General features: G+C 37.0%; 1 protein-coding gene and 1 long non-coding RNA gene across 14 annotated transcripts in view; one reads left to right on the top strand and one right to left on the bottom strand.

The window, feature by feature from the left end:
* Positions 1-22,661, bottom strand: part of TET2 (tet methylcytosine dioxygenase 2) — a 133,929-nt gene that overhangs the window by 37,017 nt on the left and 74,251 nt on the right. For 5 of the 13 annotated variants that reach the window (XM_024454103.2, XM_024454102.2, NM_001127208.3 and 2 more), the window contains 2 exons: positions 5,436-8,890; positions 1,358-1,448 (listed from right to left, as the gene is read on the bottom strand). In XM_024454103.2, coding sequence (XP_024309871.1) covers positions 1,358-1,448; positions 5,436-8,844 — 3,500 coding nt within the window. In that variant the 5' untranslated portion in view covers positions 8,845-8,890. Of the gene's footprint in view, positions 1-15; positions 8,891-22,661 lie in introns of those variants that run through there. The other 8 variants (XM_006714242.4, XM_047415839.1, XM_047415841.1 and 5 more) reach the window with 5 other exon arrangements.
* TET2-AS1 (TET2 antisense RNA 1) overlaps positions 1-22,661 on the top strand; it is a 181,528-nt gene that overhangs the window by 110,095 nt on the left and 48,772 nt on the right. The window lies entirely within an intron of this gene.

Raw genomic sequence — 22,661 nt, 5'->3', positions numbered from 1 at the left:
TTCAAGAGGCAATCAAAATATTTGAACATTTGAGCATAACTTTATTCTATGACCACATCCTGAGAAATGAACGGTTTATTATTTTTTAAACAGGTCTACGCCAAGCAAACTGGATAATGGTTTTTAAGCCTTGTTTTTCCTCAATATCAAAATGTACAGATAATTGTAATGAACTATTTTGTAAATTACATGTGGGTGAAAATGGGAAAGCTCATTTCGATATAAAATTTCACAAAGCACAAAATTCAGGTTAGTTTGCTAAGTTCAGTCTTCTAAAACATAAACTATTTTTTCCCTTACTAAATTTAGCTATTTTAAAACTTGGGGAGTCATAATAGATTTTAGTTAGAACTGTTCCTCCAAGAATGTCTCACAATTTAGAAAAGGAGGCTGGCAAATAGTTAGTATCCAGCCACATGGAAAATATGGAATAGTCCTAGAAATAGACTATATCTTCCCTTATGACCAAAGCACCACCTACTGCTTGTTTAAAAAACAAAACAAAAAAACAACAAAAAAAAGGCACTTAGGGAAATTCACTATTTCTGCCAGGCCACTAGATGATTATTTAGTGAACTTCTACATGCTAATTTAGAAATGAATAATTTGGAAATGGAGCAAGAATGATACTGAATATGTCCTAGCTGCCCCAATGTATCCTAAGTACTTTAATAATAATACTGCCTACCTCTTAATGAAAAGGCACCCTAGAAGAAGAACAGCTCAGAGCTGTATAAATTTATATGAAAGGCCTTCTCTGCATTATCTCGCTCATAAGAGTCTTCTACATGCAGGAGTAAAGGCAAGTACTTGTATACCTGTGATTGATAGCGAAAAAAAAAAAAAAAGGCAGCTGTAAATAGTATGTTTCTCTTTCTATTCAACATATCACACTTGCTCTCTTTTTATGGTAAAAGAAAACTTAGAGATAAGTACTCATTTGCAACACTAGGTGAATTTAATTCAGTGGTTCTTTTCTTATACCACACTTTACCAGTCTTTCTGCTTTGACACTTTATTATCAGGTGGGAAAGCCAGAGTGGGACCTCTCGTTGGAGCCTGTGCCAGTACCTTGTGGCTGGCAGCCTGGCTGGCCGATTCCTGTTCATGCCTGGGTTTTCTGGCATCCATCGCAAAGTGGGCAGCCTGTGCCAGCTAGCAGACTATTAGTCCTGTCAAATATTGTGACTCTCTGGTGAATAGCACAGTGTGTAGTGTTGGCAACCCTAGAATAGCTAAGCCTACTAATAATTACTCAATTTACAATTGTTTACTGCTTTGTGTGTGAAGGCTGGAAAAATTCTGACATATACAAAAGGATAAACGTTAATCTGCCCTGTGCCTTTGCGTTAATTACCTTTCTTCCATGATTTCTCTAATAGCTGCCACATTAGGACCTGCTCCTAGATGGGTATAAAAAGGACCTTCATCTTTTTCAATAATTTGCTCTGTTGAGATAATAGAAGATTATTATTTTAGACCTCAATTATACTAAATATAAAGGCTACATCCACAAAGCTTAACCCCCAACTACACATTAAGGGCTCTAAAAGTGACTTTAAAATTTTTTTTTCTTTAAAATGAGTAGATTGATGGACTGATCTATTAGAAAATGTGCCACATAATTAAGTATATGTACATGCTGGTTGTTGGATAAAAATATATTACATTTCAGATATGGGATAAAAAATTATTTTAAACCAAATAAATGAAACTAAACAAAGAATACAGTGAGGGAATTAGAATGTATTATATGTAGTATCAACTACAATCCAATTTTTTGAGCTGGAAAAAAAAAACATTTAAAGCTAACTGGAAGCCTACCTATTACTTGGATTTTAAAAGATTAAAAATAAAATTTCCTGCTCTATCCCACCCCCAGAATATTGCTTGGTTTATTGTCAAGGATACCCCTTTTTCTTCCTACTTCCCTATAACATTTAATTGCTGTTTTGCAAATAAGAATAGTCAATCCAGACCCATATTAGTATGTACTTTAGAACAATTTATGATGAGAGAAAATCCTGGAGAGTCAGGCAAAAAGAAGGGGCTGTTGCAAACCAACAAAGATGGAAAAGTGGGAAGATAGGGGTGGGTGATAAGAGAAGAGTGAAGACGATTACAACTTACCAAATATTATCTATGAGATGTGTGGTGTTTTAGCCCAGTGAGGCAACTTAATAACCACACGCAAAGAGGGACAGTAGGAGTCCTCCCTCCATCCTTCTACACAGTGTGGGGTATCTCATTGCAAGAGGGAAAACATGGCACGGGTAGGTCATTAGCCACACTAATTTAACATTTGTCTTTTCAAATGTCTTTGACTAAATCTATGCTGCATAGCTATAATTAAGATCTTCATCTCTATCCACGTATATATCTACATCCATCAGCAAAAATATTTCACTATTCCTACAGACCTATTACATATCCTGAATTTTAACAAAAAGCTTTTTTTAAAAATACAGGCATACCTCGTTTTATTGTGCTTTGTTCTTTTGTGAGTCACAGTTACTGTGACTTTTACAAACTGAAGGTTTGTGGCAATCCCACGTGTTAAGTATGTCTATCAGTGTCATTTTTTTCAACAGCATGTGCTCACTTCATGTCTCTGTATCACATTTTGGTAATTCTCACAGTATTTTAAAGTTTATTATTATTTATGTTATGGCGATCTGTGATCAGTGATCTTTGATGTTACTATTCTAATTTTTGGGGGGTGCCACAAACCGTACCCATAATCTGGTAAATGGTGCAAACATAATCTGATAAATGTTGTGTGCATTCTGCCTGCTCTATCAACCAGCCGTTTGGGCTCTCTCCCTCTCCCTGGGCCTCTCTATTCCCTAAAACACAACAATATTGAAATTAGGCCAATTAATAACCCTACAGTGGCCTCTAAGTGTTCAAGTGAAAGGAAGAGTTGTATGCCTGCCACTTTAAATCAAAAGCTAGATATGACGAGCTAAGTGAGGAAGGCATGTCAAAAGCCAAGACAGGCTGAAAGCTAGGCCTTGCATGCCAGTTAGCCAAGTTGTGAATGTAAAGGAAAAATTCTTGAAGGAAATTACTCCAGTGAACACATGAAAGGTAAGAAAGCAAAACGGCCTTATTGCTGATATGGAGAGCGCTTTAGTGGTCTGGATAGAAGATCACGTCAGCCACAACATTCCTTAAGCCAAAGCTTAATCCAGAGCAAGGCCTTGACTCCCTTCAGTTCTATGAAGAGAATGAGGAAGCTGCAGAAGAGAAGTTGGAAGCTAGCAGAAGTTGGTTTATAAAGTTTAAGAAGCGCAGCTGTCTCTATAACATAAAAGGACAAGGTGAGGCAGCAAGTGCTGATGTAGAAGCTGCAGCAAGTTATGCAGAAGATCTAGCTAAGATCACTGATGAAGGTGGCTGTACTAAACAGCCTACTATTGAAACAAGGTGCCATCTAAGACTTTCATAGATAGAAGTCAATGCCTTGCTTCAAAGGACAGGCTGACTCTCTTGTTACAGGCTAATGCAGTTGATGATTTTAAGTTGAAGCCCATACTCATTTACCATTCTGAAAATTCCAAGGCCCTTAAGAATTATGCTAAGTGTACCCTGCTTGTGTAGAGTAATGGAACAACAAAGTCTGGATGATAACACATCTTTTTACAACATAGTTTACTGAATATTTTAAGCCCAGTGTTGAGACTTACTGCTAAAAAACAAAAAAAAAAAACAAAAAACAAAACCAAAACCTCCTTTCAAAATATTACTGCTCAAGGCACCTAGTCACCCAAGAGCTCCGATGGAGATGCACAAGATTAATGCTGTTTTCGTGCCTGTTAATACAACATTGATTCTGCAGCCTATGGATTAAGGAGTACTTTTGACTTTCAAGTCTTATCATTTAAGAAATATATTGTTAGTCTACAGCTGCCAAGATAGTCTTCTGATGGATCCGGGCAAAGTACATTGAAAGCCTTCTGGAAAGGTATCACCATTTAGAAGTTATTAAGAACATTCATAATTCATGGGAGGGGGTCAATATATCAACATTAACAGGAGTTTAGAAGTTGATTCCAACCCTCATGGATTACTTTGAGGAGTTCAAGACTTCCGTGGAGAGGTCACTGCAGATGAGGGAGATGTAGCAAGAGAACCAGAATTAGAAGTAGAGCCTGAAGATGGGGCTGAGTTACTGCAATGTCATGAAAAAACTTGATAAGAAGTTGCTTCTTATGGATGAACAAAGAATGTTTGAGATGGAATATACTTCCAATGAAGATGCTGTAAACTGCTGAAATGACAACAAAGGATTCAGAAAATTACAAAAACTTAGTTGATAAAGCAGCAGCACAGTTTGAGAGGACTGAGTCCAATTTTCAAAGAAATTCTGCTGTGGGTTAAATGCTATCAAACAGCATTGCATGCTACAGAGAAATCTTTTGTGAATGGAAAAATCAATTGATACAGCACTTCACTGTTGTCTTATTTTAAGAAATTGCCACACACACAGCCATCCCAGCAACCTTCAGCAACTACCACCATGATCAGTCCACAGCGATCAATACTGAAGCACGACCCTCCACCAGCAAAAAGATTAGCACTCACTAAAGGCCCAGATAATTGTTGGCATTTTTTTAACAATAAATTATTTTTAAAGTATATATTTTTTAGACACAATGCTATTGCACACTTAGTATGTTACAGTATAGTATATAAATAACTTTTACATACAGTGAGAAACCAAAAAGTCCTTACAACTTGCTTTATTGTAATATTCATTTTATTGTGGTATGGAGCCAAACCCACAATATCTCTGAGGTATGCCTGTATCATATTTTTTAATCAAAAAGATGAAATTTTAGAGAAAAGGGAATCAAAATGAATATAAATCACAACATTCCAAATGTATAAATGGAGAAAAGGAAACTTTAGGAGCACTAAGAGTGTCAGCATTATCATTTCCCCCAACTCATGAAGACTGAAGATAATAATTTCCCTATTAGCCAGAAATCTTGTGAAACTAATATATTTTACCTTGAATTAAAAAATATTTAAAGTTCGTACATTAGACTGCCTATGGTCGTTATTTTCTCATTTTAATAGATTGTTTTTTTGCTGCCTAGCTGTCTCTCCAGGAGATAATATACAAAGAGCTAAATAGGCGAATTGATCTAAAACAGATACATTCAAATTTTACAGGATCTGAAGAGAGGGAAAAATAAACATGCACGATTATTTAATTCTTTTGGAAAAACTGCATGTAAGTGAAGTTCTCTTTCACAAGACACAAGCATCGGTAACTTGACAAAAAATGTAAGCTTCAGATTTTTATGAGCCTTTACAAATTGCTGCCAGACTCAAGATTTAAAAAAAGAAGGAAAATCCCATATCTGAAGATAAATTTGCTAATTCTGGATAAACGCCATGTGTCTCAGTACATTTCTGGCACTTACCTACACATCTGCAAGATGGGAAATCATATTGAGTCTTGACAGGTGTATCCAATAAATTTTTTATAGGAGTATCTAGTAATTTGGAAGGTGACTCTATAAAATTATTGAGAACAGAAGCAGCTGTTCTTTTGGTTGGTGTCTTTTCTGAAGAAGTTGTTTGCTGCTCTAAAGCTGGGGTGTGGCTATCAAGTTCTGCAGCAGTGGTTTGTCTAGTCAAAACTGTGACTGGCCCTGACATTTCAACTTTTACTTGCTTCTGTGATTTGAGAGTAAGAGCCTTATGGTCAAATAACGACTTGGCGTGAAACTGCTTCAGATGCTGCTCCATGGTCTCAATGATGCTCTTTTGCTGCACATTATCACAGCTTGCAGGTGGATTCTCTTGCTTAGTTACCTTTTTCCATGTTTTGTTTTCTGGTGGTGCTGTGTGCATACAGGCATGTGGCTTGCATCCAGGTTCCACCTTAATTGGCCTGTGCATCTGACTATGGCAAGACTCAGTTTGGGGTTGCTGTGTTTGCTGCTGTTCTTGCTTCTGTAAGAGATGCCACCTTAGAGCAGCATGCTTTTGAGTGTCCTTCTGGGGAGGGGTCTGAGTGTGACTTCCTCCCTGGTCAGGCACAGGAAAAACATTTGCATGGTTATGTATCAAGTACCTTTGCTGAGCAAGTTGCGCAGCTTGTTGACCAGACATATCTTGGTTTCTATTTTTATATCCCTGTAGAACTGAAGCTTGTTGTGACTTCTGCTCCTGTTCTTGAAAGCACCTGTGAAGAAGATCTTGCTTTGGGATCACATTATTTGGAAAATATTGCATGTGATGCAAGTTTTGGGTCTTGTTTCCTGCAAAAAGTTCAGGATGTGTAGTCTGTTCTTTATTCTCTGAAACTAGGTGTGTATTGTTTGAACAAGAAACCTGTATTTTGCATGCACTTGATTTCATGGTCTGACTATAAGGGGAATTTCTACGATTTATATTCTGTACTTCCTCCAGTCCCATTTGGACATTATGAGTCTCGAACTCGCTTGATTTTGAATACTGATTTTCACCATGAAAACATTCTTCCACTTTAGTCTGGCCAAAGAATGATCCTTCTCTTTGCTGATCATTGTTGCTTTGGGGGTGAGGAAAAGTCTGGAGTATTTCCTCTTTATTCTTTATTTGTAATTTTTGCTGCTGTTGCTGGTTTTGAGGGAGATGTGAACTCTGGGATGGTTGTGTTTGTGCTGCCTGTTTATGAGGCTTATGTTGCAAAAGGTGTGAGTTTGAAAATGGCTCAGTCTCTGAAGCCTGTTGATTCAAGTGCTGTTTCAACACTGGGGACATAAGTTTTTCAGTTTGGGAATCTGCTCTTTGTTGAAAATGAAATCTAGTGCCACACAGTGACTGCACATGAGCTTTTGGTAAATGGTCTGTTTTGGAGAAGTGCACCTGGTGTGAGGGTTTTTGGAACTGGAGATGTTGGTCCACTGTACCTTGGGACTGCCCTTGATTCATTTCAACTTGGTACATTTGTGACTTGTGCTCCAGCTGTGTTGTTTTCTGGGTGTAAGCTTGCCTTGGGAGCCCCCCAGGCATGTTGGAATTTCCAGTGTATTGTTTGGAGGTCATTTGATTGGAGAGATTGGGTTGATACTGAAGAATTGATGGCAGTGATGCCTCATTACGTTTTAGATGGGATTCCGCTTGGTGAAAACGAGGGGCCTTCAATTCAATCCATCCTGGTTTCAGATAGTGCTGTGTTGGGGGCACAAGATCTCGTGTTTGCTCCTTGTCTCGACCCTTCAGAATCTCTTGCTCTTTGTTTCTCATCAACTGCTGGCAGTTGTCCTGTAGCTCTCCACTGCTACCAAAAATTGGTGGGTTATGCTTGAGGTGTTCTGACATTGGTCTTGTTTTCTCAGAACACAATGGAACAGTCATTGTCCCTGCAGTCTGTATGTCATTCCTGTTCACACAATTATTCTGAGGCCTTTCAGAAAGCATCGGAGAAGGGCTGCATACATGTGTAGATGGATTAGGACTCTGGGAAGGTGGTGCCTCAGGTTTACCCTCTATTTTCACTTCCCTTAAAAGTGTTGTGTTACTTTGGTTGGGGTAGTGGTGGTGTTCTTCTAAAACTCCACCATTCAGAGTGCTTTTTCCTTCTGAAGGAAGCTGAGGAACCTGTGGAAGAGGAGGAGGGGGAGAAAGAAGCAATTGTGATGGTGGTGGTGGTGTGGTAGTGGCAGAAAAGGAATCCTTAGTGAACACTGAGCTTTGCTTGAAGTAAGCACCATTCATTTCATTTTGTTTTAAATACCGTTCAGAGCTGCCACCAGGAGCTTGCAAATTGCTGCTGGAACCTGAACAGAATTCTTCACCAGACGCTAGCTTTGTGGTTCCCTGGATGTTATTTTCTGCAGGAGATGGGCATATCTCAAAAACTGATTTTTGTTGTTGTAGTTGTTCTGGTTTCTGAAAGGAACAGGTATTTAGCATTGCAGCTAGTTTACTGGCATTATCAGCATCATCAGCATCACAGGCCTCACTCACCACTGCAGCTGGCTTTGGAGGCAGCTCAGAGTTAGAGGTCTGTGCGGAATTGATCTGCCCTGAGGTATGCGATGGGTGAGTGATCTCACAGGACAACTCATTAGTAGCCTGACTGTTAATGGCATTTATGTGAGATGTGGTTTTCTGCACCGCAATGGAAACACAATCTGGATAATATTGAGACAGTGTTTTTTCCAGGAGTTCACCATGTGTGTGTTCCACGGAAGAGGCAGAAACTGTAGCACCATTAGGCATTAGCACTGCCTTGTTTTTAAGTAATACAATGTTCTTGTCATGGTAATTAGCACTTTTCCCCTCCTGCTCATTCAGAATCTGAAGCTCTGGATTTTCAGGCCCACTGCAGTTATGTGTTGAAAAACTGGTGAAATCTTTAACTGCATTTTCTTGGGCTACAGAACTCACAGATTCTTTCTTATCACTCAAATCGGAGACATTTGGTTGACTGCTTTCACCTGGATTTCTTTCTTGGCTTACCCCGAAGTTACGTCTTTCTCCATTAGCCTTTTGGTCTTGTTTCAATTTCTTGATCTGAAGGAGCCCAGAGAGAGAAGGTTCACTAACTGTGCGTTTTATTCCTCCATTTTGCAAACACTTGGAATACCCTCTACTTTCTTGTGTAAAGTCAGGACTCACACGACTATTCTGGCTTCCCTTCATACAGGGTATTCCATAATAACTTTTGAAAGAGTGCCACTTGGTGTCTCCATTTACTTCTGGATGAGCTCTCTCAGGCAGTGGGCTTCCATTCTGGAGCTTTGTAGCCAGAGGTTCTGTCTGGCAAATGGGAGGTGATGGTATCAGGAATGGACTTAGTCTGTTGCCCTCAACATGGTTGGTTCTATCCTGTTCCATCAGGCTTGCTTCGGGGCCATCCACAAGGCTGCCCTCTAGTTGAATTCTAAAGAGCATGGAAACAAAAATTAAAATGTGTTTATTTCTATCTATCTATCTATCTATCTATAAAAATACTAATATATCTTAAGGAATAATTGTGGATAAATATCGGAATACCTAGACATAGCAAACTGATATTTATTTTCATGTTTCATAGTGACAACTGACAGCTACTCAGGAAATAAACATTCTTGTCTTCATAGCAACTCTAAAATATTTATGGTCATGGAGAACAAGGGTGATCAAAATTACCAGCTAATGTGGGAAGTTCATACTCTTAGTTACTAGCATCAATTTCATTCCTAAATAATTTTTTGCCAAAATGCTAAAAACAATTGAAAAATATCCCCTTTATTTTCTCTAGCACTTCATTTACCTAATCACTTGCTAAGTTCTATCAACTGTACTTCCTATATATTCCTTTAATCATCTTGACTGCCACTTCATAGCTCAGATCTTCTCTTTATCACTGTGCCTCCTCCTGATCTACTGCAGTAGCTTTTTTTTTTTTTTTTTTGAGATGGAGTCTCACTCTCTTGCCCAGGCTGGAGTGCAGCGGCACAATCTTGGCTCACTGCAACCTCTGCCTCCCAGGTTCAAGCAATTCTCCTGCCTCAGCCTCCCAAGTAGCTGAGATTACAGGTGCCTGCTACCATGCCTAGCTAATTTTTGTATTTTTAGTAGAGATGGGGTTTTACTATGTTGGCCAGGCTGGTCTTGAACTCCTGACCTCAGGTGATCTGCCTGCCTTGGCCTCCCAAAGTGCTGGGATTACAGGTGTGAGCCACCGCACCCCACCTGCAGTAGCTTTTTAAAAGGGTTCTCCTCCCCTAGCCCCGTCTGCCCTTCCCCTCCAGCCCTTTAAGGTTCCCTTTGTTATCAAAAGGAAGATTGTAAAATGCAAATCTGATGTCATATTCTCTTTAACACACTGGCTTAAACTTGCCTGCATGGTTCTCAAACTATTTCATCCAAATACACCTGAGAGATAAGGCACACTCCCTTCAGTGTTATCAATATTCCAGGTGACAGAATAGGGGTGATGAAAAGTGTACTTTATGAAAAACCCTTTCTAGGTGATTCTATGTTTTTCTCTAGAGGGGCTGGCTGCCCAAATCTTTTGAGAATTTCTGTTTAAATGTTTTCTTCCCCCCGCATACAGGCTGTTTTTTCTGTCCTCCTACTCTCTCTTACAGTTTATACTCCAACAATAACAACAGCTTATAAATATCCAAACATAGTAAGCTGTTTCAGAGCTTCATGCCTTTGGTTTTCTGTCTGCCTAGAATGCCTTCTTAATCCCCTTATTTGCCCAATGACTCTAAACCTGCCTCAGATATCATCTTCCCTAGGATTCCATCTTTGACTCTCTAAAAGAATTAATCATTCCTGCAGAGAAAAGGGAACACTTATCCCCTTATTGCTTGTGGGAATGTAAACTAGTTCAGCTGTTGTGGAAAGCAGTGCGGTAATTTCAGAGGACTTAGAATTGCCATCTGACCGAGCAATCCCATTATTCGGCATATTACCCAAAGGGATATAAATCATTCTACCATAAAGGCATATTGCACACGTATGTTCATCACAGCACTATTAATGATAGCGAAGACATGGAATCAACCTAAATGTCCGTAAGTAGTAGACTGGATAAAGAAAGTGTTACATATACACCATGGAATACTACACAGCCATAAAGAAACACAAAATCGTGTTCTGTGCAGCAACATGGATGGAGCTGGAGGCCATTATCCTAAACAAACTAACAAAGGAACAGAAAAATACCACATGTTCTCTTAAGTGGCAGCTAAACAGCAAGAACACATGGACACAAAGAGGGGGAACAACAGACAGCAGGGATACTTTGAGGATGGGAGAAGGGAGAGGATCAAAAAACTACCTATTAAGTACTACGCTTATTACCTGGGTGACAAAATAGTCTGTACACCAAACCCCCAAGGCATGCAATTCACCTATATAACCTGCACTTGTACCCTTGAATCTGATTGCATTCATTCGAACATTTTTGAGAGTAGTACTAACGAAGATTTCAGAGTCCCAATAATAGAGAAAGCCAGAAGAAATGGCACTAAAAAAATTAATCCATTGTATAAGGTGTCTGCTTTATTTTCCCACAGTCTTTCTCATTACATTTATTTTAAAGATATAAGTAGAAAAAGAAAGACTATTTTCTTTTTGGGCGAAAAACAACTCTATTAAAACAGCTATTTCTTGATAAACAAGAAAAATGAAATAGAATAAGAATATAGATGTTGAAAGCAACGCTAAAGTTATTGTTTACAGATAAAAAGATTATATACTGGTCAACCTAGAGAATCAAGTAAAAAATGGTTACAGTTTGTGAGAATTCAGCAAAGTAGCTGAAGAAAAATTTATAGCCTTGATTTATAAGAGCATCAACCAGTCAGAAGTTTTACTGGAATAAAATACTGTAGTTATAATAGAAGAAATTAATACACTAGGAATAAGTTTTTAAAATGTGGAAGACCTATTTTAATATAACTTTAAAACTATACTAATATATAAGTACAAAAACAAAACAAGGGAAAAGCTATAATATGTTCTTAGATAGTTGTCAAATTATTCACTTAATATACTCTTACTAAAAGTACTTGCAGAATATTTTGAGGAATTAAGGAAGTTGACTCCAAAGTTCATTTGGAAAAATAAACAAATTGGGTAGCCAGGAATATTCTGAAAAAGAATTGTATGGGGCCTAGTAGCCAAATTAAAAGATATTTAAAAGCAACAAAGCTACTATACTTAAAATAGTTTGTGTTTGCACATATAATATTAATATGATCAATGGAATAAAACAGAATGTTCAAAAATAGACCCAAACCACAGAAATATGCTACAAGATAAGGATGGGATTTCAAAGACATACTTGATATTAGAACAACTGGGTAATCTCCTGAAAAAATGATAAAGTGGGATCATTCCCTTACACTTTAAGATAAATTCTAGATGAATTTAATATTTGAATACAGGAAATAAAACCCCCCCAAAAGTTAAAAACAATCTGAGAAAACTTAAAAAAATCTAATGACTGGCTAAGCTCTTTTTTTGTGAAACAAAATCTAGAAGTCATAAAAGATGGGAAAGTTTGCTAAAATTTATATGTGCCAAAATAAACATGTAAAAAGAGTTAAAAGTTGTATAAAACTTTTCTTAACATATAGGACGCCTACAAATAAATGAATAACCACATACTAAAAAATGGACAAGGGACATGGACAGTTCATAGAAAATGAAATGTGAATGGCTCTTAAGTATTTAAGAAGATATCTACTATTGCTCATAAAAAGAAATGCAAATTAAAACTGCAACAAGGTACAGTTTTTTTCTCTTCTCCAATTAGTGAAGATCAGTAAGCTTGATACTATACTATGTTTGGCAAGCATGTGGGAAAACAGATACTCTCTCATGTGGCTTTTGAGAGTCAAAACTGCCACAAATATCATGTAGGATGACAATTTGGCAATATGTATAAAATTTCAGAAACACTTTCCTTGACCCTTTTAAGAATTTATCTGACAGGCTGGGTGTGGTAGCTCACGCCTATAATCCCAGCACTTTGGGAAGCTAAGGCCAGTGGATCACCTGAGGCCAGGAGTTCTAGACCAACCTGGCCAACATGGTGAAATCCCGTCTCTCCTAAAAAGATACAAAAATTAGCAGGGCATGGTGGTAGGCACCTGTAATCCCAGTTACTTGGGAGGCTGAGGAAGAAGAATCACCTGAACCCAGGAGGTGGACACTGCAGTGAGGTGAGATTGTGATGCTGCACTCCAGCCTGGGTGACAGAGTGAGACACTGTCTCAAAAAATATATATATATATATCTGACAAATATGCTCATATATACATTAAATGATGTAGGCACAATCTTTTGCAGTAATAAAAGGTTAGAAACAACCTACATCAATAAGGGTTATGTTAAATAATTTATGGTACAGCCACACAATATAATACCATGTAGCTATTAAAATTAGTATCTCTATATTTTCAGATGGAAGTATCTCCCAGTAATTAAATGGAATAAAGGAAGCTACACAACAGTTTATATAAGAATGCTACAACCTATACCTTTGTAAAATAAAAAAAAATCATCTCTGGAGAATATATAATGAACTGGCCATAATAATTTGCCTCCAGGAAAAGGAATGGGGCAGCTGGAGAAAAGCACTGGGAGGGGGATTACTTTTAACTATTCCTTTTTTTTTTTTTTAAATAACTTCCAAGCATGTGTATTACTTAATAAATAAAATAAAAGGCCAGGCACGGTGGCTCACGCCTGTAGTCCCAGCACTTTGGGAGGCTGAGGCAGGCAGATCACGAGGTCAAGAGATCGAGACCATCTTGGCCAACGTGGTCAAACACCGCCACTACTAAAAATACAAAAAGTAGCTGGGCATGGTGGCGCATGCCTGTAGTCCCAGTTACTTGGGAGGCTGAGGCAGGAGAATCATTTGAACCCAGGAGGCGGAGGTTGCAGTGAGCCGAGATCGCGCCACTGCACTCCAGCCTGGCAACAGAGCGAGACTCTGTCTCAAAAAAATAAAGTTATAACTCATATTGGACAAAGAAAACAAAGTGATGTTTTTATTTCTGCTAGATTTACTTCCTTCCATACATTAAGAGATGGTCTAGATATACATCATCCAACAGTGACTAGTCACATATAGCTATTGAGCCCTTAAAATGTGTCTAGTCCAAATTGAGATGTGGTATCTATGAAAACATTTAGTTTGGATTTCAAAGATTTAGTGTTAAAAAAACACAAAAATACTCAAAAAATATTTAATACATGTTGAACTATTTTAAATGTATTGGGTTAAATCAAACGTATCATCAATTTGTTTCTTTTTCACTTGTTTTAATGTGAGTACTAGAAAATGTAAAATTCCATGTGGCTTACATTATGTTTCTATTGAACAAGTAGAAAATTTGGGTGAGACAATGGCTTTTAATCATCAATAACACCTAATAAAGAAACTTTAGGTTTTAAAATCATGAAAATTGATTTGTAGTCTTTGATATGAGAGGCTTCTCCAAAATCAGGACACTATCACTTTTCAAAAATTAAGGAGCATAGACATAAATCTAAATAAATCCTGCAGAAAGAAAGTCAATTACCTGTCCAGATACTACCAAAAAAAGGCACTTTTCTTTTGGTAACTGTAAAACACCAATTCATATACAGAGCAATCAAAAGGTATTTACATGTATATACATGTGTACATTTATGATAAATTATATAAAATTTGTAGGATCTGTACATAATACATGTTTTTCTACTTTCTAAGGTATAAAATATTTTAAGCATTTAATATATTATCTTTTATTATAATCCATTCCACATAATTTTGGACATTCTTTAAAGTGTCAAGGGCAAATCCTTTGAGTATAATAATAGCTACTAAGAAATGAAGGTGACTAAAAAAGAAATGTATTTCAATATGGAGTTTTAAACACAATGGCCATTTTTAAACATTATACAGAACTATTTTGTCTGTGACAGCAAGTCCTTTATACAACCATTTGTGTGAAAAGTTTAATGGTTAACTTTTTCACAAGAAGGGCAGGAAAGTTATATGTTAGAATGAGGAAAATTTGTTATTGGTCTTTAAATCTTATTTCAGGAAATTTAAACTAATAAACTGCCATTTTAGAAGGAGAAAAATGCAATATTTTCTTTTACTTTAATATGTGCTAAATCACACTTTTTATATACATACCCTGGAATATTATGATCCAGTAACCCACTTGCACAGTACTCTTTCAAGCTCTTAGTGCTTGCATACTGATGTTGATAAAGTATTATTTTGCTTAATAAAAGAGAAGGAAATGAGACCTATGCATTTTGCTCATTGTAGAAATACTGAAAAAGCTTTCATGCTGTAGTTTTTATGGGGTCATTTACACAGTGTTTTCAAGCTTGCATAAAAAGTCTACATGAAGTCAATAATTTTTGCGTAAGATAAAAAAATCTTCAAAGATGAATTTTTGTAGATATTGACCTGCTATTCACCTGCTATTCAGTGAAAGTAGAGTTAATGAATTTTTTTTATGAATTTAAATGATTGCAAAGAAAAGTTTTTCAAAGTTAAACTGTTTTTCAGATAAATATAAATTTTTGCTATGGAGATTATTTGTGTGATTTTTGCTTCTCAGAGACTAAGAACAAAAATATAATTTTAATTCATATCTGCTCTTATAAATGACTCATCAGAAATATTTTGAATTATCATGATTGATTTTTTAGTTGAAATTAAACATCCTTCTATTTTTTCTTACACCAGAGAACACAAAATTAATATGGTATACAATATTAAGATACTGCTCTATTGTGCAACTAAATATTCAAACACCTTGCTATTGAAGGTCTACACATTGTAATTCACTGTATGCAAAAGAGTCCATGCCAAATAAGATTCTACCTATAAAAATCATTCCCTAGATGGAAACAATTCTTATTTTAGAATGAGAAGCAACTTTACAAGAGGATGGCAATGTCTTTCCTAAGAGGATGCTGGCCAATCAAAATTAAGGCCTTTTTTGGGGTTGTTAAACTGGTTACGAAGTTTATATACAAGAACAGAGACAGAAGAACCTTTGGGAAAACCTGGAGTGACTAATTGTTTACCCAGGGATGATTTTCATGATGTCAATACTTCACTCATTGCATTTAGTTAAAATTTAAGAATGAATACAGTTTTTAACATATTCCTCAGGAGATGCTCTTATGGGTTATAGCTGGCATCATGTTATCAACCTACAGCTCATGCAATTCCTGAAAGTTTCACAATGTGCTCTTGAGAACTGGTTCTAAGCACTGTTAGAGCTACCAAAATATTAAAAAATTATATTACTCTTTTTTCCTCCTTTTGAAAAAATGAAAATTCCCTGAGATCAAATACATGCCATATTATTTTGGCATCTTTATTTCCAGAATTCTGGACAAAGAGATCTTGCTTCTGGAATGACTAAATAGCATTTTAACCTTTTGAAAGGTATGTTAGGCTGTTTTTGAGTTGCTATAAAGAAATAGCTGTCTGGGTAATTTATAAGAAAATAGGTTTAATTGGCTCATGGTTCTGCAGGCTGTATAGGAGGCAAAGCACTGGCATCTGCTTTGGGTGAGGCCTTACAAAACTTATAATCATGGCAGAAAGCAAAAGGGGAGCAGGCATCTAACATGGCTGGAGTGGGAGAAAAAGAGAGAGGAAGAGGGAGGAAGAGGGAGGGAAGGACAGAGGGAGGGAAGGAGAGAGGGAGGGAAGGAGACAGGGAGGGGGACGTGCCACACACCCTTAACCAGATCTCTTGAGAACTCACTATCAGGAGGACAGCACCATGCCATGAGGGATCTGCCCCAATAATCCAAACACTTCCCACCAGGCCCCCACCTCCAACACTGGGGATTATATTTCAACAGGAGATTTAGAGGAGCCAACAACCAAACCATATCACACGGCTAAGAAATTCTAAGGTGACACTCAAATATAAGTAATAATATGTAACAATGGTCCTAACAATGTATAAACATTTCAGAGTAGCAGCAAGGATCTAGTACCATTTTCTCATTTTAAAGATGTGAAAACTGAGGAATCTGCCCATGGTGAAGCACCAAAACAGAGGCTCCCACAGGGACTAGGCCTAAGCACTCTGGCAGCTCTCTAAAGCTCTTCCCACCACACAATACTAAGACAAGTGCATAATTAAAGGAGTAAGTTTTGTTATTAAATTCACATTTAGCCAACAATTTAAGCTTTTTTTTTAAGGTTTAGGATTAAAAAACAAGTATTTTGGCTACGTATCTGTAGGTCTGTAATTATTAAGATGATTAAGGGCATTTTGCATGTCTTTTGCCAACAAATCATTTCTTTATGTGGTTTGGGATAGAATAAAAAAGAAAACGTAAACTTTTAGGACATGGAATTTGAAGCTGCCACAGAGTTATTCTGATCCCTTCTTTGCCACCTTCCCAGATTATCTTTGCAATGCTGGACTGCTGATGATTTTTCTCTAGAATATTTGAGGATGATTTATGAATCTCCCCTGATAATGTCACTCAGAGAATTGGAGCTCAAGACACATTAGTTCATTTATTTTTTCAGTCCTGCTGCACTGAGTTGAATCCTCACTCAGTGCAGTTGCCATGGCATGGAGCTAACACAAAGATGCAAACATCCTCTACTGCCCTGAACTGTGGTTATGTTGAGGCAATGAGACTACTGAAGTGCCATGGGAATACAGGAGAGGGGAAGACTAGAGCTCTTGTCCCTGTCAATGTGGGCATATCAGCCACCCAAGTCACTCTTGTAAAATTTAACTTCATTTCTTCTTGCCGTAGTATGAGAGAAAAACACTAAGTCAAAGGTAAAAGGCTGACAACGAATGTTCATCAAAGCTACCTACAACATTGCTGAGGGAGGAGAACCAGTGACCTAAGGAGAAATGTGCATCAGTAGTCAGCAAGTACAGAGAACACCACATAAAAAACTCATAGAGCGCAATTTCAAAAAAACTAGTGAGAAGGCAAATGAGTTGTAGAAGCTCTTCTGATTATTGAACCCTTAACCTAGGAAAATACATGGCATGTTTATCTGCTTCACTATAAACTTATCTTTGCTTATCAAAATATAACACATAGCTCATTATTCAAATCACACACACACACACACACACACACGATTTTTTACTATATGGTGCAGCATGAGATTTCTTCATAGGTTTACCAAAAAGGCAACAAAGTGAATTAAACTTTAAGAATGAACAAAACATAATGCTAAAGTTATAAGAACTTTGGTATTTTTTTAAGTCTAAAAAGGCAGTTTTAGAAATTATCATTTGCCTAAATGACAGACTAATTAAATTACAATTTTAAAAGGTTATAATTTAGATCCCACTAGTCATATTATGTATGTCTATCCTTTTATTCCAATAATCTAATGTTCTTTGTAATGCATGGGCTTCCAAGGAACCAAAAAGAATATTTCTATTTACTATAAATACCACCATTTTTTTCAGAAATTCTAAAGGTCAAATTATAACCAGGCAATTTAACATAAATAGAAACATGCAACAATTATATGGCCACTCAATAATTTCAGCTAATGCCCCAGAATAAATTTTCATAAGCTACGAGACAGAGAGAGAGAGAGAGAGAGAGAGAGAGAGAGAGAGAGAGAGACTGGCTGATATGTCAATTATGTTAACCTTTATCTTCTATGTCAGAGGCATGTATTAATGAAGCATGTTTATCTCAGTTGAAAATACTGGCCTTTTGACTACTAGCTAACATTTTGGTTTCCTAAGACCAAAACAGGTTTTAGCCACAGCAGTTTTCCTTTGATTTTGTTCCTTCTCCCGCCTCTCTGAAAATAATTTATTATAAATTCTAGTCGCATTGGCAGCATCTGTGAAACAATTACTGCATCTAGGACTGACTCTGCAGTCTAATCCATCATAATTATGACAGGCCTCTTTGAAGATGCTATGATGCATGACTTAAAAATAGCACATTAGTGTGCAAATGGATCAGCATCTCATTTCACCAATATGCATTTAGGACTGTAATTTTGCTCCATACCATTTGACTCTTCGGATTACTCAAGAATGGTAGCTGTATCTCTCACCACATAAAGCTGTAGATATGCTCAAATTTGTGAAGAGGGCTTGATTTTGTTTTTGTTTTATTTTTTGGTTTATTGCTTTTCTAGGTGGGGGTATATCTTTTATTGCTCTAAGAAAAAATACACATCATTTAAATTTTATGTCAGCTTTTTTTCAAGGGGACAAAAGAGTCAATTTATAGATTTGTATAGTTGCCATACTATAAGGTAGTAAATTATTTTTTTCCATAAAATAAGTTTTGCATGTCCTAATACTACAAGTATATATAAATTACTCTACCATCATGAATCCTGTTTATTTATACATTCAGATTACTGAGGGTAAATACTTCAGACTGCTTGCTTATGGGAACTATATCTGCTAAAGGCACTGTGTTTCAGGATCAAACTTACGGGAATCACTGTGTATCTCTCTGTCACTTCCACTGACAGGCTTCACCTCTATTAGTAATTCAGAGTGTTAGGAATTAAATATTTATTGACATGAAAAACACTGAGTAAAGATGATGTATATGGCCACACCTCCTGCATAGATGGCATTATTCTCCAAAACTATTTTGGATTCTTCCTATCAACATGGGACATAGCTTGTGTCAATTATACACTTATTTCAAGATGTGTGCAATGCTATGGACTTCATTATTGTCTACTAAATTTCCCTCTGTATAGTGTTCTAAAATCCCGAGCAAAATGTTAGTTTAAATTCTTATCTTCTGTATCTATTAAGTTCTCTCCATTTCGTTTGACTTTAAAATTACTATGTAATATTGGTATGGTTGCCAAGTCTCACTCTTGAGGTAAAGAAAGTGTTTTTTATAGGGCATTTCTTATAAAATTAAAAACTATTCTTCGTTAATTTAAAGTTAACATTATTTAATATTTAAATATTAAAGCTAAAATTTTAAAAACATAATCCAAAACATATATTTTTCAACAGCAAAATTAATGTAAGCAAGCCACATGTTAGACCTGGAATATAATGTTTCCTATATGGATTAAGTATGGAGAATATAAGGTGAATTAATATTTTTAAGGCAAAGCTAACTTTTTATTTCTCATTCTGTAAGAACTTTCTATCTAAATATTTAAAAATCTGTGAAGATGTACTTCACATCTCTTGAAAAAGGACTGCTGAGCATGGTCCTGGTGCTGGTACCAAAACAGAGATATAGATCAATGGAACAGAACAGAGCCCTCAGAAATAAGGCCACATATCTACAACTATCTGATCTTTGACAAACCTGAGAAAAACAAGAAATGGGGAAAGGATTCCCTATTTAATAAATGGTGCTGGGAAAACTGGCTAGCCATATGTGGAAAGCTGAAACTGGATCCCTTCCTTACACCTTATACAAAAATCAATTCAAGATGGATTAAAGACTTAAACGTTAGACCTAAAACCATAAAAACCCTAGAAGAAAACCTAGGCAACACCATTCACGACATAGGCACGGGCAAGGACTTCATGTCTAAAACACCAAAAGCAATGGCAACAAAAGCCAAAATTGACAAATGGGATCTAATTAAACTAAAGAGCTTCTGCACAGCAAAAGGAACTACCATCAGAGTGAACAGGCAACCCACAAAATGGCAGAAAATTTTCGCAACCTACTCATCTGACAAAGGGCTAATATCCAGAATCTACAAAGAACTCAAACAAATTTACAAGAAAAAAACAAACAATCCCATCAAAAAGTGGGCGAAGCACATGAACAGACACTTCTCAAAAGAAGACATTTATGCAGCCAAAAGACACATGAAAAAATGCTCACCATCACTGGCCATCAGAGAAATGAAAATCAAAACCACAATGAGATATCATCTCACACCAGTTAGAATGGCGATCATTAAAAAGTGAGGACACAACAAGTGCTGGAGAGGATGTGGAGAAATAGGAACACTTTTACGCTGTTGGTGGGACTGTAAACTAGTTCAACCATTGTGGAAGTCAGTGTGGCGATTCCTCAGGGATCTAGAACTAGAAATACCATTTGACTGAGCCATCCCATTACTGGGTTTATACCCAAAGGACTATAAATCATGCTGCTATAAAGACACATGCACACGTATGTTTATTGCGGCACTATTCACAATAGCAAAGACTTGGAACCAACCCTAATGTCCAACAATGATAGACTGGATTAAGAAAATGTGGCACATATACACCATGGAATACTATGCAGCCATAAAAAATGATGAGTTCATGTCCTTTGTAGGGACATGGATGAAATTGGAAATCATCATTCTCAGTAAACTATCACAAGAACAAAAAACCAAACACCGCATATTCTCACTCATAGGTGGGAATTGAACAATGAGAACACATGGACACAGGAAGGGGAACATCACACTCTGGGGACTGTTGTGGGGTGGGGGGACGGGGGAGGGATAGCATTGGGAGATACACCTAATGCTAGATGACGAGTTAGTGGGTGCAGCGCACCAGCATGGCACATGTATACATATGTAACTAACCTGCACATTGTGCCCATGTACCCTAAAACTTAAAGTATAATAATAAAAAAATAAAAAATAAAAAAAAAGAAAAAGGACTGCTGAACACACAAATATGTCAAAGTCCTCAGAGAAAGTTCCTCCATTTCTGAAAAGGTGTTAATTGGACAAGTAGCTGCACATACACATACAGCGTGTGCACTGCTCCTAATCTAAATCATGTGCATAGGAGGTTTTGTCAGGTTTTTCATAATCCTCAGTAGGGCCTATTTAATTCCCATGTTTAAAGTTTTAAAATCTGTTTCTTAAAATGGCAGTATAAACAAAATTTAATAATATATAGATTATTTGAGGGAGAAAAATTCAGAGGAATGCCATTGAAGATGAGAGGCAGATTAACTCAGAGATAGAGATCTGCATTTAAGATCTGGAGACACCTGCCAGTTTAGTATAAATCTGCTTTCAGTTTGCAACCCAAGTTAACCAACCAGTTTCTTATTGGTAAAATGAGCATGATCTTTTGTCAATTCTCTATTATCCACTTATCTGTTAATCCTGGAATTGTTTTTTGAATTTGGGCTTATTCCTGGCCTTTCTCCAAGTCTCACCAAACTAGTGTGTACTGAAGGAAACGATAATAATAATAATAAAGATAAACATAATTAGAAATGTACTGTGTCACAAATATTTGTTTCTCATAAATTATTTTAAAAATCTATATTTTTCTATTTCAGTTGACTCCCATTATTAGAATGGATAATTGTGAGCTGGTTGTCCTTACTGGAACACTGTCTAGGATACATTTATATTATCCAATGCTTGAAACTTTCAATTAAATAAAAGTGTACTTAGAAAAATTGCAGAAGTTGTTTAGGCTTGGTCATGCTCTAAGAATCTGTCCAGGGCAAGGATGCCCCAGCAGAAAGAGACTGTGGGGTGGACTCAGCAGGCAAAGCTGAAGTAGCTATGGTGATAGAAGAAATAAGGACAGATCTCTCCTATCAGGGTACTGTGCAGTGAGAGCCCTTGTAGGCCTCTCTAAAGAACGCTCCATATATGTCAAGAAAGCCAGTATTCGGATGCCTGCCTCACAGAGGGCGTCCAATAGCCAGTCAATGCCAGGCAGAAAAATAGCAACATCCAAAGTCCTCCAGTCTTGTTCAGGTGCTTAAGGAGCCCTGAGCTCCTTTTCATCCTTCCTCAGTCCTGCCCAATCTCCTAGGCACTGGTGCTCACGGTAGAGGGGGAGGGGAGGTATCAGGAGTGAGGCTCCCCTACTTTCAACTCCAAGGGTTGGAGCCAGTGTTTAAGTTTGTGCTGGGAGAAGAACACTGACTCAGGCTTGAGTTGGGAGTTTTAAAATGAATAGGACTGAGTTTGAAAGACAAATAAAATTGTTCTAATAACCAAAAGGTGCTGTAAAAATTATGTTACCTGGTCAAGAAGACATTAATGGCTGAATGGGGTGAAGGAGACTATAATAGTATATATGAGGGGCAATTGTAGAAAAAAAATACTTTCATTTTTATATACGGAGGTATGATTTTTCCAATAGAACCATTACATAAGGCCAACAAATGGGTTCTAATAATATATAAGAACTTTATGTAATTTCTAGGAGGGCTCATAATCATTCAGTGTAGTTATATAATGACACTGGTAG

Source organism: Homo sapiens, chromosome 4, assembly GCF_000001405.40.
Source record: "Homo sapiens chromosome 4, GRCh38.p14 Primary Assembly".
NCBI classification, from domain to species: Eukaryota; Metazoa; Chordata; class Mammalia; order Primates; family Hominidae; genus Homo; species Homo sapiens.
This window is presented reverse-complemented; position numbering and strand designations above follow the sequence as displayed.